This window comes from Homo sapiens, chromosome 11 (genome assembly GCF_000001405.40).
Source record: "Homo sapiens chromosome 11, GRCh38.p14 Primary Assembly".
NCBI lineage: Eukaryota > Metazoa > Chordata > Mammalia > Primates > Hominidae > Homo > Homo sapiens.
In genome coordinates this window covers 132,899,233-132,914,727 of record NC_000011.10, presented here as the reverse complement: position 1 = coordinate 132,914,727, position 15,495 = coordinate 132,899,233, and the positions used below count along the sequence as shown (strand labels likewise).

General features: G+C 42.5%; 1 protein-coding gene across 8 annotated transcripts in view, besides 1 other annotated feature; it reads left to right on the top strand.

Annotated features, from left to right (window-relative positions):
* OPCML (opioid binding protein/cell adhesion molecule like) overlaps positions 1-15,495 on the top strand; it is a 1,117,521-nt gene that overhangs the window by 617,774 nt on the left and 484,252 nt on the right. The window lies entirely within an intron of this gene.
* Positions 3,165-4,364: an enhancer, noted in NCBI's record as "BRD4-independent group 4 enhancer chr11:132780259-132781458 (GRCh37/hg19 assembly coordinates)". NCBI's record gives its function as "activates an origin of replication core promoter dependent on BRD2, P300/CBP, MED14 and CDK7 cofactors, and independent of BRD4, by STARR-seq in HCT116 cells {active_cell/tissue: HCT116}" and the evidence as "EXISTENCE:reporter gene assay evidence [ECO:0000049][PMID:35650434]".

The following is a 15,495-nucleotide window of genomic DNA, read 5'->3' as shown; positions in this document are numbered from 1 at the left end:
ACTCAGTGGCTGCTATGGGTTGGTACAGGAATCAGCCAAACCACAGGCAGTTCGACATCCTGGTCTTGCAAGGTGCCCTGTTGAGGGGCAGTGTGACTGAGGTCAGGTAAAGAGCCCGCCTTCCAGCACAGCCGTTCACTCTCTGCTGGGACTCTGGTTTCTTAGTCTGCTTTCCATTTCAAGGATTAAGGACAAAGGGATAAAGACATCATGGCCATAACTACAACAAATTTTAATTTCTGGTTATTTTTCCGTATACAGAAGCAAGACATTGGGTAACATGTAGTAAATCTAAACGAGTCCATAAATATTATATTGGAACAGAAAATGTATGGTCACAAGAGACGAACCATATTACCAGGTCGTGTAATTAGATGTGCAAACTCAGTTGCATATAAATGTTACCAAGTTCAGAATGGATCAAGCGATATTGACTTGTACTGGGAAGACACTAAGCATTGTGGAGATATCGAAGAGTCTCAGTCGTGGATCTGGAGCAGAGGGCCACAAGGCAGTTCTCTTTGCCCATAGAGGGAGAGGAACAGACACTTCTTTTGTGACTTCTCCATTTGCGGCAGGGAATGTGTGTCAGCACATTGCCAGGGGTGTCCCTCTTACCTCCTCGCAGCAGAGACAATTGGGAACTTGTTTTGTGAGAGCAGTGAGATGGATTATATGGCCTCTGGCTTTTTGAGACAATCAAGTTGTCCTTCACACTCCAAGTGGATGTAATTAACTGCACTGATAGGATGTTATGCCAATAGCAACACAGAAAACACCGGAAAATGAGTCGAAAGGATGCCTAGTGAGCTGCAGCAGAGGCAGAGAGGGGAGGAGTCCGTCGAGAGTGCTATGTAGCCCACCTTCTCTTGTGGAGCTGAGAGAAAGGACTTTGGCCCCATGACTTTCTAAAGCAGATATGGATTTTTACTAGCTCCAAAAAGAGAAAAAGAATGAGGGTATGTGCCCTATGGTTCCCTCTTGGAGTTGTGGGTCATTTCAGAAGGAGCCATGGTCAGAAAGGGGGCTGCCCTAGAAGCTGAGAGCTTTCGATTCTAGTCCCAAGGCAGTGCGGGTTGAGCTGTGCAACCTTTGGAGGCCCACGGCACTATACTGGACTGAGAGTCGGCCTTGTGAAATGAGGAGGGGTCAGATGGCCTCAGTGCATCTTTCTGCTCTAATGGTCTCTGGCTTTACACAATAGTCATTCACAGAAAGACAGAAAGGGGGAATGTGAAGTGAATCAAATTGCTTTCGATGGTAGAATATTAGTCATTTTGTTTCCCGATGACTCATAATCAGAAGTGATATTTGTAAGCAAATTTTACCAATGTTTACTAATGGATCATAATTTTAAGTAATTAAATACTAGTTAATTGATTTCCTGAATATTAAATTTAACTTTCCAGTAATAGTCCTCCATTAATGGATCCGCTCTTAGAAGTGTTTTTACCATAATAAGTCATTAAGATTTCCTGAATAATTTCTCTCCAAATCATTGATTTTAAGTTACTTTGCCAGCACAAATGCATAAAATCTCATAATGTTGCCATGTATCAATTTCAATCAATGCAGTTATGACAATCTGTGATTTGTTTATGTCTTACTTTTAAATAATAAAAGAAAGGACAGAAAAAATAGGAGATTGTGGTAATATGTAGAATATTTGCCAGGTTGTGTATAACATTCTCCAGGTTGTCTCTCCAGGCAACTCCAACTCTACTAATGCCTCTCCTCAAGGATTATTCTAATGGTAAATTAAGATTATAAATACGAAAGCATCAAATAGTCCCTGACATATATTTGATATATGGTGAAAAGTTGCCTGTTAATTTGCTAAGTTGTTTTCAAAGTCCCCATGGAAGATCTGGCATGGATTTTATCCTACGGGAAGCCACTGAAAGTTCTGAGCAAAGTCAAGATGTATTAACCAGTCATTCCAGCAGCAGCACATGGAATATGGAGCGATGTGGGCTGAGATGAGAGTCAAAGACAAAAACAAAAAGCAACCCCAGTTAGGATGGTATTCCAAATAGTTGATACAAGAGATGATAAATTTGAGAATTGTTGGTCTGCATAGTAAAATAGGATTGTGTTGAAAGCTGTCATAGGGGTTGTCTTGGTGATATTTTTCTAATCCATTTTAGAGTTTTCCTTTCATTTCATTTGTAAGTATATAGATTGCAGGTTTCCAAATGTTTATTTAACTAGTTGCATGAAGTGCTTCATAAAAAATATGCTTTTTTATAATAATGACATTGATGTTAGTGTTGATGATGAAGTTAATTATTAATTGTGCTTCCCGACCTCATAACCAAGAGGTGGAAAGGGGTTTATTGTATCCTGGTGACTCATATATTGAGTTGTATATTGGTCCTAATATAACAGTTTCAAAATCATTCAAAACTATCTTGGTCACCTATTGAATTTGCAACGTACTATACTATATAAATATTTCTGTCACAATATTTTATCATCACAGTTTCAAGCTTTATGAAAGATAAGGTCAAAATTTCAATATTATATCTGAGAGCTTTGCAGTCTTAGCTATTTATTTGTCTTTTTTTTTTATTGGAGTCTTGAAGGACTTTATTTCTTTTATATGTCAGAAAGAGTCCATGTTATTCCATGAGTTGCTGTATAGGATGCTGAAGATTCCAAGTGTTCTAATGGTCCCAGAGCTTAATACCCAGAATCTCACTGATGCGTCTCAATTAGTTCCAAATTTTCAAGATGATTAACCTCTACTTCCTCCATTTCCTGTGTCCTGAAGAGGAACAAAGGGATAACTCACCTGATACTTCCAGCTCTGTGCATTCTGAATCTAAGCTCCTGTGTGTCCCTGGGTGACAGCAAAGAGTGCTCCAACTCTTGGAATTACCTGCCTGACAAGTCTAGAAATATTAGAGTTCTTTATATTTAAATACACAGAGCTGTAACTACAAACTTTATCATTTTTGGACTAAATGGAGAAAGGGGCACACTTTCTGTGAAGTCTTTAAGTCATATTTGCACTCTTTGGGTGGCCTTGTGCTAAAGAGGCTATGGAGTGTGAGGACAGAGGAGAAGGGTCCCCTCAGTGCATGTGATGCCAAGGCTCATGGTACATTGTATGACTGGAGAGTCACTTGGCTTGCTATCTTTGCTGTCAGATGGCGCTCACTGGTCTCTGTGTTTGACTTTCTTTCGCATAACATGTCAGTCCACTTACTCTTAGGAGAGTTCCCGAGACAATCAGGCAAACTCTCCTCGGGATGTCTTGATGAATGTGTGAAAAGCCAGGGCATTCTGCCAAGTGTGCTTTGATTAGGAGGTAATAGATTCCAACTTCCTTCTGTCGTGTCTCTTTCTGCACCATAGAATGATTGTTTGCAGGGTCATTCTGGGTTCACAGAATTAGTGACTCATCTACTGGTTATTTGGCAGTTCAAGAAGCTAGGACATATATCTGTTGCTCAAATGACTGGTTTCCAGCTGTTGAGATATCAAAATTCTCTTGAAATTCTTCGCAAAGTTGACCCTGCACATTATTGATGGCGGTGGTTGAGAGTAAGGGAGAAAATGGATATTGTTTACACGCAGACTTTTGCAAGGACTGGTAGAAGAGAATTGGGGTGAATTGTAGGATTTCTGGAGTCAGAAGATGAGGGTTGCTGTTGCAGCGTTAATATCCAGATGTATGATCTTGGAAGGTTGCTTAACGTTCTCAGTTTTAATCTCTGCATCTTATAAATTAGAGATTTGTGCTAAATGATCTCCATCATTCTTTTCACCCTTGCATTCCAACATCTTTCTAGTTTCCTCCAAATTACCTGGGGTCTTTGTTCACTTTCTGCTATTCTCTGGCTCCTGTCATGCAGCCACAATGGTCCTGAGGGTTTGTAAGAAGATTCTGGATGATAGAATATATTGCGGAAACAGCAATTGAGTTGCAACTGGAAAGACTTGGGCTGTCTGTTAAGCTCCATCATCATGAAAATGAGCTTTATCTTCTATGTGTGTGCATATATTTATATTTAAAGCTAGCATAAAAATTATACCCAATTCCTACTTCAGGGAAATACTTGTAAGAAGAAACCAGGTGATGAAGGGATCATCTGTCACTCACGTAATGGGAGGCACTGCCCTCTAGACATGCTTGAGGAGAGTGAGAGAAGGATTCAGATAGGAAGGAAGAGAGTGACATCATCCCCACCGCACCTGGGATGCGGTTCAGGGTTGTGCGCCATTTGCATCCTCCCTATGTGAAGATTTTGGAATTTCCAAGTTTTATTCTGTAATATCCCTGCATTCAGCTCTGCCTCTTGCGGTATGAAATTCTGAGACTCTCGGCCGTGTAATTACCTTCACATCTGAAAAGTCACTGCTCTGTGGAGCTGCAGGTCTCTGCCGTTGCTTCAGGCTGCTCTGGGGCCCGGCCTGCCCCTGTGGGGGCATAATGGCCGGCGAATATGTGCTGAGGCCCCCTACCCCCAGCCCTGCTGTACCACTGCCAGTCCCGAGGCCTGCAGACTCCATTCGGGAATGCGGCTGAGATTTACCTTTGTCCTGCGGCTGCTTTAATTGCAGTGAAACGAGCTTATTGAAAGCAGTGCTCAGAGGAGGAGTGCCTTCTGTACCAGGATTTCACATGCAGGAAAGGTTTCTATTTTCAGTACCGACTCTCTCGATGGAAATCTCTTTCTCCCTTGCTCACTCCCTGTCTTCTGAATAAAAATTCTCCACACAGTGATGGTTAAAAACATCAATTAACTCTAAAACAATTATTATTTTTTGAAATGCCATTTTATAAATGTAATAACACGACACAATAATCCAGGGTTATTTAACAGAGCATTTACCCTGAAAACAGTCATTACTCTTTAAATGCAGGAGATTCTAGAAGCCTCTTAACATTAAATGGCAAGTGAGGCAGAAGCAATATTGTCAGAAATGCCACATCCGCTGCATATATTAGCAAGAAGAGGCCGGTGGCTGCCCTGCCCACTGGCTGCCATTTTCTTGGCATTTCTTGGGCCCCAAAGCTTTCTGTTCAGAGTGACATCAGCCGACACTGATGTGACAGGCTGGTAGTTGGAAGAAATGCCCTGTGAAGCATTTCCTCCTGTGTTGTCACCCTCCCTCTCCACAACGGACTGAAGCCTGGTCAGTTGGGAGGCTCTTCTTGCAGGTTCTGTTTAGCAAAGTGCAGATGGCAGCGGTAGAAGGGCTGGTGATCTCACCTGGCCTTGAAGCTCCTATTGGGTTGGGGTGGGCTGCCATCTTCCAGGAAGCTGTGGCACACAGCATGCAGAAGCATTCCAGCCTCACACGTTTCTCTTCTGAGAAATGCCTATGAAATGGTCTCTCAGAATGTTCGCACAACCTGAACACCACTTCTATTTTTGGACCCAAAGAACACATCCAAGTATTTTGACCTACATGAAATTTCTGTTACACTCAGCCCTTGAGGTCTGGGGTTCCATCTGGAATTATTAACATACCATTAGACTGGTTATTTTTTTTTAAAGTGTGGATGTGTGAGAAGTGGAAAAATGTCCCACTCAGATAGACAGCCCTGCAGGAGACTGTTCACTTGGGTGGCCAAGGGAGACGACCTCCCAAGGGCTGCAGCTGAAGCTGCTCCTCGCTTTCAGCTCTGCCGTGTGGGTGGTGGGCATCCCGCACTGATGCTTCTGTCTCTGAGGCACCCTTGCCCTTCTGAGGAGGAGCGATGGCACAGCGACCCCTGAGCGACGCTCTTCCGGGGTTTGCCAGGGCTTGAGGAACCTGTGATTCTGGTGCAGGGAGCTGCTGTGGTTGGGATTCCTCAAGCTGGTGCCCACAGTCCACTGCAAGCCTCAATCCTGCAGGTCTGAAGGCTGAGTATCCTTACCTGTGACCACCAAATGTGATGTTTAGAAAGCCCAAGTAGACTCCTGTCTGAGGCTCCTCTATCATCACTTATTAACGTGAAAGTGCAAAGGCAGGGCCAATTTATGGCATGTACAAATCAATGCGCTATGTCTTTCTAACCAAGCAGCACCTTATCTTTGTGTTTACAATAAATAAGATGAAACTGTCTGGTGAGAACTGGTGGCGCTGTGGTCAATCCGGGGGTGGTGACCACACTGTTGTCCAAGTCTCCTAGACTCCTTAGACCACTTAGCCTGAATTGCACAAGGGAGTGCCTGTGGAAGTATCTAGAAGGCTAGTGGGAAGACCCAGGGAGAGGGCTTGGAAGCTTAGACTTTTCAAGTAAGCACAAAACTTGGAATTCATATACACTAGGTTTTTCTGTTTTGGAAAATAATGTGTTTATAGGGACCCAGAGAAATTGAGTGACTGCTCAGAGTTAAACAGCTAATTAATTGTAGGGGGAATCTAAATGTGGGTCTTCTGACCTCAAGTTTGTGTGTGTACCTATGTGTGCACGTGTGTGCATATATGTGTGTGTGTGAGAGAGAGAGACCTTATGTTTCTTTGGGGGAGGGGACTAATGTCTTTCACTTTTCTTTCTGTAACATCATTTGTCATGCTCCTGTCAGTCTTCCTGTTATTAGTCAGGCCGTATTTGATGGGCAGGAGTTTGTGCTGTTGCTGAAAGTCCTCTCGCTTGTGCTCCTGTGTTTTGTTGTCTCCTAGAGGTATAACATGACTATTGGTCATGGTGACCATCAACTTCTTTTTAGAAATCCCTGACTACAAATGATTTCAGGGAGCAAAATTACCAAACAGCTTTGGGACACAATATGTTTTGGAACTCATTTAGTCAATTTTTTTTTCATTGACTCATTCTACATCTCTCAGACCTACCATGGGTCAGCAGATTTGCCAGCTGTGAGATAACTAAGGCACATTAAACCAGGCCTCCACATGCACAGATGTCACAGTTCAGTGGGGAAGGAAACCGTGTAAACTACTAACTCGACCATAGCGTGCTGGTGCTGTAACAGAGCAACGTGCAGTGAGCATTTGGAGCATCGATGAGCAAATGGTTTATTCTACTGGACTTAGAGAGCAGTCAGGGTAAAGGTCATTTGAAGGGATCATGTTGATGGAGTCACATTTACATGAAGTTGAATTTCTTTTTCTTTTCTTCTTCTTTTTTTTTTTTTTGAGACAGAGTTTCGCTCTGTCACCAGGCTGGAGTGCAGTGGCGTGATCTCGGCTCACTGCGACCTCCATCTCTCAGGTTCAAGCGATTCTCCTGCCTCAGTCCCCTGAGTAGCTGAGAATACAAGGGTGTGCCACCATGCCCAGCTAATTTTTATATTTTTAGTAGAGATGGGGTTTCACCATGTTGGCCAGGATGGTCTCGATCTCTTGACTTTGTGATCCACCAGCTTCGGCCTCCCAAAGTGCTGGGATTACAGGCATGAGCCAATTTCTTGAAGCAGACAAAGGACAAATGGAGGAGGAAAAGCATTCCTGGAAAAGGTAACAGCATAAGGAAATGCATACAGGCATGAACCCCCATGGAAAGACCAGGGAACGTAAAACAGCTTTTACCGTTAGAGTGTTAGAAGGATGGATTGAGAAAATGTGGAGGGTTCATATTGCAAAAGGAGCTGCGGCCCCCTGTTGGGAGTCAGTGACGTAGATAGAAAACAATTTTTGAAGTAAAAATGGATGGCAATTCTTACGATATGTTAGAGGGCTGTGAATTGTAAGCAGGAAAATCTGGTTAGTAGGAGACTCTGGGCAGATTTTCATGGTCAGGATAGGGGATGATTGTCAGATCCAGGAAGCCAGCATATTTGCCTTGTCAGGTAGAGAGCTGTCGATATTTTTGTTGACTAAATAAACATGGATGTCTTTTACCATATGCATTCTGCATTTTGCTTCAATCCCCACTACCCTCTATTACATGAAACCCAACCAGCCTCACTCTGGTTGCTAAAGGGATTTGGGTTTCAACCAAGGAAACACTGGTGGGGATACAGAGGCCAGCAACCTTTGCCAGCCCAAAGTTGTTTATAAAAGAGGCAGCCTGTTCCTTTCTGGAAATATCTACTTCCATTTTCAGCTTCTCCTGAGTTTTTCCAGCCCCGTAACAAGGGCAGTACCCTCTTTTCCTTTCCTGTACACTCGCTGACATTTTCAATGGTATTAGGAGAAGAGTACAGTGTGTGTTCCTCAAGGGCAAGGATTAACTAGCTGCTTCCTGTGAAGAAATTCTGAATGGTAAACGACCCTAATGGAATAGTATTCATTTCCCCTGTTAATATGGTGCCTACACAATCTAAAATTAATATTACCAAAAAGACTTGACTCCCCCAGCACAGAGATCCCCCAGAAAACCACACACTGAGGGAGGCTTTTCTAGAAAGGGCGGTTCTTAGGGAAGCAAGGGCCCCTCAGGGCTGACTGTTCATAGGCCCTAAAGATAAAACAAAATAGCTTTATTTAAAGATTTATTTAAGATGTTTTAAAAATTGAGTAGAACATACATTTTTAATACTGATTGATATTATTGTAAAGCATTCTGATGAGAACCTGCCCCATGGGTCCTTGCCTGCTACACAGACAGAATATTCCTTTGCATTTCTACGATGAGTCATGTTTTAGCCATGGATTAATGCATCGATGAAAGGTGCCCCCATTCTAGTAGGGGCAGAGGGAAAGAGAATGTCGAAAGGCAGCAAAGAGAAGAAAGAAGAGAACCATGGTGTATAAAAGTCACATTTTAGGCTGCATTTCAAAAAACCCTTCCAAAGTAGAGAGGCTTCATGCTCACATTCTGAAACATTCCTTGTAGTTTAGAAAATCTGTGCATTTGAGGAGTGGTTGAAGACTATGAATGCTAAGACATGCATCATTAATTAAATTATAGTTCCCATTTATTGAACATTGGCTATATACCAGGCAATGACTTCTGCTTTTACACATATTAGTTTGTTTAATTCTCAAAACAATGGTATTATTCCCATTATACAGAGGCGTAGAAACATTTGATAACTTATCTAAGCTTATACTGGAAGAAAATGCTGGAACTAGGATTTATGGAAGGGCAATTTGACTCAAGGGCTCACTTTTTTTTTTTATGTGACTAGATTATCCTGCCACTATTGGGTGTTCCTAAAGTGAAATTGGTCTCTTAATTTTGCATCATGAAGGTCAATATGTCCCATGTATTTTCAGCCTTCCATCTTTGGGAACTATCTACCTAGCATGGTGGTGAAATTTGGGCTCTGGAGTCAGAACTGCTTTCCAGGCTGGGTGTGGTGGCTCACGCCTGTAATCCCAGCACTTTGGGAGGCCGAGGCAGGTGAATCACCTGAGGTCAGGAGTTTGAGACCATCCTGGCCAACATGATGAAACCCTGTCTCTACCAAAAATACAAAAAATTAGCCGGACGTGGTGGCAGGTGCCTGTAATCCCAGCTACTCTGGAGGCTGAGGCATGAGAATTGCTTGAATCTGGGAGGCGGAGATTGCAGTGAGCCAAGATCATGCCACTGCACTCCAGCCTGGGAAACAAGAGTGAAACTCTGTCAAAAAAAAAAAAAAAAAAAAAAAAAGAACTGCTTTCTAGTCCCAGCTCTGTCCCTTGATCTGTGAGATAGACACTGGGCAAGTTCTATAACACAGCTGAGCCTCATTAATTATAAAATGGGTATGTAATTGTCAGTACCTCCACAGTAGTGTTGTGTAAACTGAAGGAGATGGTCCATTTGGACTTCTTAGTGTTTAGCACTACGGTGAAATAAATGCATGTCCAAGAAGTAGCTGAAGTTCTTAAGGGATCCCAGTGTCACTGAGCATGTACACTGGGTTCTGAATGCAACTGCAACTCTGTGGGGTCTCTGAAACATTTCGTTTTATTGTTGAACATTGAGGCAAGCTCAGTCTTAGTTTTAGGTCCAGAGAAAAATCCCAATTCAAACAAACTCACGACCTCTGAAGCAGTTTCATTAGGCAGGTTTTTCCACACACAGCTCTAATTACCACCACTCAGACTGCCCAGGGTGCGGGCTGCTAACTAGGTCAGGATCTGAGGAGCCTGGCCAGCAGCCTCTTGGGTGTCTCCTCTTAAGTGCACGGCCATCTGCAGGCTTCTGCGATATTTCTTGCTTTTGAATTTATAGAACCATTAGCCTGGAATCTAAACAAAACACCTAGTCTTAATAGCTTAGTCAGTAGGTGGTTCACCAACAATTTCAAAAACTAGAAGCAATAGTCAGTTCCCAGAGGAGTAGCAGTTGTTGTTTGGAAACAATTCTCCAAATTGCATTTATTTCACAGCAGTCTGAGGTCACAAATTCAAGAGCAATGAGAACTCTATTCAATTAGACAACTCGATCAGAATAGATCTGTCAAGATGACATTCCATCTAAATCAATTGAGATGGAGAAATAATTTAGCTGCTGCTGTTGTTATTTAGATTTTTTTATTATGATTTTACAATTTGTTGGAGTGAGGAAGTTGGGCATGGATGAGTGCTGGGCAGCTCCTGGCATCTGTTGCTCTATTAGATAGAAATGCATTCTCCTCTGTGTGTTGTTTGTGCTGTATTAATGGCCAAATAGGTGAAAAGTGTTTCCTGAATCAGTAGATTGACAACCAATAAGCTCAAAAAAGGGTGTCCAAGATTTTTTCCAGCTGAGTGTGAGTCCATCTCTTCTCCTCTCCCCTTTTCCCCCACACTTTAGGACCAATCTTTGTTTGCCAGCCCATGGCAAAACTTTCAAGACTCACCAGGCATCATTGATCCAGTCACCTAGAATTATATATTGACATTCAGGGGTTATAAGATAATATGTTTCCTTGAAGCCATATAGCTGATTTCTGATTTCAGATAGAGAATGCCATCTATCAAAGACAAATCTTTGAACTACAATTTAACGCCAATTTCGTCAACCATTACCAATGAAAACTACACACACGTGCACATGCAAACACTCATTTTTTTCCCCTTAAATAACAGAGGGAGAAGGTAGAATAGCAGTGAGGGGAAAGGTTAGTGAGGAGCATTCCCAACGGTGTTTCCTGCTTTGTTGTTCTAGGGTTCCACTATTTTAACTTTGGCTGGGAGAGTGATGATGGACTGACCCCTTCTTTCTCTCTTATTTTTTTATTTGTGTATTTATTTTTCTATTTATTTACTTATTTTTATAGAGATAAGGTCTCACTATGTTGCCCAGGCTGGTTGTGAACTCCTGAGCTGGGCCTGAATTCCAAAAGGGAGGAGGGTATAATGAGGCATGTCCAACGCCCAATTCCCATCATAGCCTGAACTATTAGTAGTTTTTCAGGTTAACTTTGGAATGGCCTTGAATGAGAGAAGGGTTCCATTCAGAAAGTTGGGGAGCTTAGAATTTTATTTTTGGTTTACAACAGTAATGTCTGGCTTCTCAGGGAATTTGATAAATAAGAGAGAAATAGTAACTCCTCAGTGTAGTTATAGATCTCAGCCATGTCTAGTTTATGGCATAAATATTATAAAACAACCTCCTGTCCTTGGTCACATATGGGAAACCTTTAGCCTGTGAGGGTGGAGGAAAAGCTTCCCTTCTGCCCTCTTTGTAGCTTTGTGGAAATGACTGATTATAGACAGATTAATAGGAAAAAAATGCCATAACAAATTTATCAACAGGCTATGGACACAGAAGTCCCATAATATGAGACTCAAAGAAGGGCCAGATAGTTGAGGCTTAAATGAAAGAGAGGTAAATGGGGGATGTAGACAAGTATGAGGGGTAGGAAATGGTTTTCAGGGGAAATGAATGAGCCCAAGAAACAATTGCCTAGAGCAAAGTTCCTCTGGGCTCTGGGGGAGGTGGTGCAAAGGTGAGGGCAGAACTTCACTGCAAACAAAGGTTGTCTTATTATGCAGATAAAGTCTCCCAGGTAATTTCTCGGAGTTGCCTTTATGAGAATAGATGAAAAGTCTATCTGGGTGTGGTGACAACTTTTAGTCTCCTTGATTCTTTCCTGGTTATTTGATGAGATTCCTAGGGAGCAAGTCTTGAGACCACTGTTTTTCTTGTGGAAAGAAGTTTCCTTAATCAGATAAGGAAATTCAAGAGAGAGCCCCTCCCTGTGCCAGGGGTGAGGGCAGAAGAGGTCAGAAAGTCCTGATTATGAGGCTGCTTCTAAAGTCTTCTTGTTAAAGCATGCAGAAGCACCAGACTTCTGGGTTGTCATTTTCTGAGCCCCAACAAGCCCAGTAAAATATCTGAATTTCCTTCTGAATTCTTGTTTTTCTTCTCCCCCATCCCTGATGAGATCGTCAGCATAGTTTTCTGGCCTGAGTCCTTTGGTTGGGGCAATGTGCACTGCAGGCCGCTCAACAGCCAAGTCACAGAAATCACACCCGTGCACACCCAGCATGTGCCAGACACTATGCTGAGCACGTCACACAGGGTGTCTTACTCACAGAAGCCCTCAGGAAGTTTTTTATTTTCACTTCCTCCAAGCTAATTGCACTATTAACTGTGCTCATTCCCAAGAGCCCTGACTACTTGAGCCCCATCCCCATCGGGCTAACAACTTCTTGTGTGAATTCAGCACCCTACAGCCATTCAGCCTCAGTTTGCAATGAAGAAAGTTGGGGTTCCTCAGGAAAGCTCCAACCAGCTATAATCCATAAATTCCTGGACCCCGAGCTTGATTTATTGACCATTTCCTCTGATCTGGCCTCCCACTGGACGGTTTTTCATCAGAAATTAACATTAGAAGTATCTTCATTTACATAAGCCATACATACATTTACCTTATGCTGGAGTAAAAAGGAATTACATAATGCCCCATGACGCAAACACCGGTGGTGGGGGGAGTTCATCATCCTGTTGGTGGTTCTTATTCCAAAAGGATTCAGTAGAGGATTTCTTTAAGTACCAAGATTCCCTTGTGAATTCCAAGTACAATTCAGTTTACATATATTTTTAAGGAAGACATCTGTCACGTGTAAATCAAGATGCATTTGAGTAATCTACTTGGCATGCCTGAAAACTGTCATTTCTTTTTCCTTTATGCCTCTTTATCTTTTCTCTTTCACTACTACTGATGATTCTACTGCTGTCGCAGAGAAATATAGAGAGGCAAGGTGAAAAGCTGAGGACGCACCGTGCCCATCTCGGAGAAGCACGGTGCCTGGGGAAAATGGAGTGGCCAGTGTGACATGTTAGTGGGGAACCTGCACCCCAAATTTGTTGCCCTTATTTTGAGCCATAGCTAATTGTACATCACATCCTGCCTCCATGTCATCGTCTGTGTATATTTTGCAGAGAAATAAAGGAAGCAAACCGTGATTGAGAGTCTGTTACATGACAAGTGCAACGCTGGGCTATTCATCTGATCTTTAGAAGAACTTTGTGAAACAGTTATTTTCCCATTGCACGCTTTAGAAAACTGAGGACTCAATCAATTATTTATTCAGTTTAAAAGGACACTGTGTTGTTCATTGGTGATTTATTATGGTGAGATTTTAATTATTTAGCTGGTGTTTATTTAGCTTGTCCTGGATGTGAGGCACTATACTGCACACTGAGCCTATGATAAGGAGCAAACACTGGAGATAGACTTTATTTATTTATTATTTATTATTTATTTATTTATTTTTTGAGAGACAGAGTCTTGCTGTGTCACCCAGGCTGGAGTGCAGTGGCATGATGGTGGCTCCCTGTAACCTCCGCCTCCCGGGTTCAAGTGATTCTCCTGCCTCAGCTTCCCAAGTAGCTGGGGCTACAGGTGTGCACCACCTTGCCCAGCTAATTTTTGTATTTTTAGTAGAGATGGGGTTTCACTATATGTTGGCCAGGCTGGTCTCGAACTCCTGCCTGCCTTGGCATCCCAAAGTGCTGAGATTACAGGCATGAGTCACTGCACCCGGCCCCGGAGATAGACTTTAAATAATAACACAAACTGAAGTGAGATGGCAAGGGCGCTAGTGGATTGAATGGAGAGCCACCTAGAACTGCCTGTTGCCAATTTGAGAGGAAGATTTGGACTAGTTAAAAATGCCAGAGCAGGCTTCTCTGACTGTAGACATGAAGGAGCTGGAGTTAGTTTGGCTAGGGAGGGTTTCATAGAGAAGGAACAGAATGTGCAGAGCCCATAGGGCAGGAAGGAGAAAAGCAAGCCAATGGAGCTGGAGGTCACAGCGTGCGGAGACAGTGCCAAGTCTGTAAGGCACATTTAGGAGCTTCATTTCTATTAAAACAATAGAAGATATGAGTGAGGCTGGGCTGAGGGGAGAATGATGACATGAAAAATGTTTTGTTTGTTTGTTTAAAGATAATTTTGGCTGCAATGGGAAGAAATGCGTATCAGTGGGCCTGAGTGCACCTGGAGACCCTTTGGGATGCAAGGCGAGAGTTGAGATGAGAGATGATGGTGGTTTAGGCTACAGTGATGGGTGGAAATGGAGAAACACACACAGATTTGAAAGACCCTTAATCATTGAGACTTGGTGATAGACTGCATATCAGAGGAAGAAAAGAGTGATATCAAGGATGACACCCCATTTTTTGACTGGCCTAATTGAATGGCTGGTGGAACATTCATCGAAATAGAAAGTACAGAAATAAGACCCCATTATGAGCCTATAATAAGTCCATTATGAACTTGCTGTGGGCATGGCTACTTGGAATTGCTTTGCAGTTAAGAGCTGATAAAAAGAATGCAAGTTGTACAGGTCTGTATTACTCAGGGTTCTCTAGAGACATAAAAATCAATGGGAGGAGATTTATTAAGGGAATTGGCTCACCTGATTATGGAATCTGAGAAGTCCCGTGACAGCCGTCTACATATGGGGGACCCTGGAATGCCAGTAGTGTTGCTCAGTCCAAGTTCCAGGGCCTGAGATCCTGGGGTGGGAGTGGGGGTTGCTGGGCTAAGTCCTAGAATCCACAGGCGAGAGAGCCTGGAGTTCTGCTGACCAAGGGCAGGAGAAGAGTGTATCCGAGCTCCAGGAAAGAAACCTATTTGCCTTGCCTCTTTTTTGTTCTGTCTAGGTCCCAGCCTATGGGATGGTGCCCACATACAGTGAGGGCAGATCTTCCCCACCGAGTCCACTTAGACTCACATGCCAGTCTCCTCTGGAAATCCCCTACAGACACACCCCAAAATAATGCTTTATCAATTCTCTAGGTATTCCTTAATCCAGTCAAATTGACACCTAAAGTTAATCATCACAGGTCCACCTTTGTCAACTTGGCACCTGTTTGCATCCCATTAAACCATACTTAACCTCCAAATGAAGACAGTAACAAGGAAATAGTTCCACCTAACGTGGTGAAACTATCTGCATACAACTGAAAATGCACTAATCTCTTCCCTAGAAGAGAAGGTAAAGTGTTTGGATGATAACTGAAACACTATGATGTAAAATTAACAACACATATATACTGATATAAAGTCAAAAAATCTTATTATACATAATAAAGGGATAAGAGATGAGCAAAACCAAAGATATTTGCTTAACATATTTATAACATGTATATAATATGTACACCAAAACATATCCTTAACAAGATAGGAAGAAAATACTCATGACAATTACTGTCCTTGT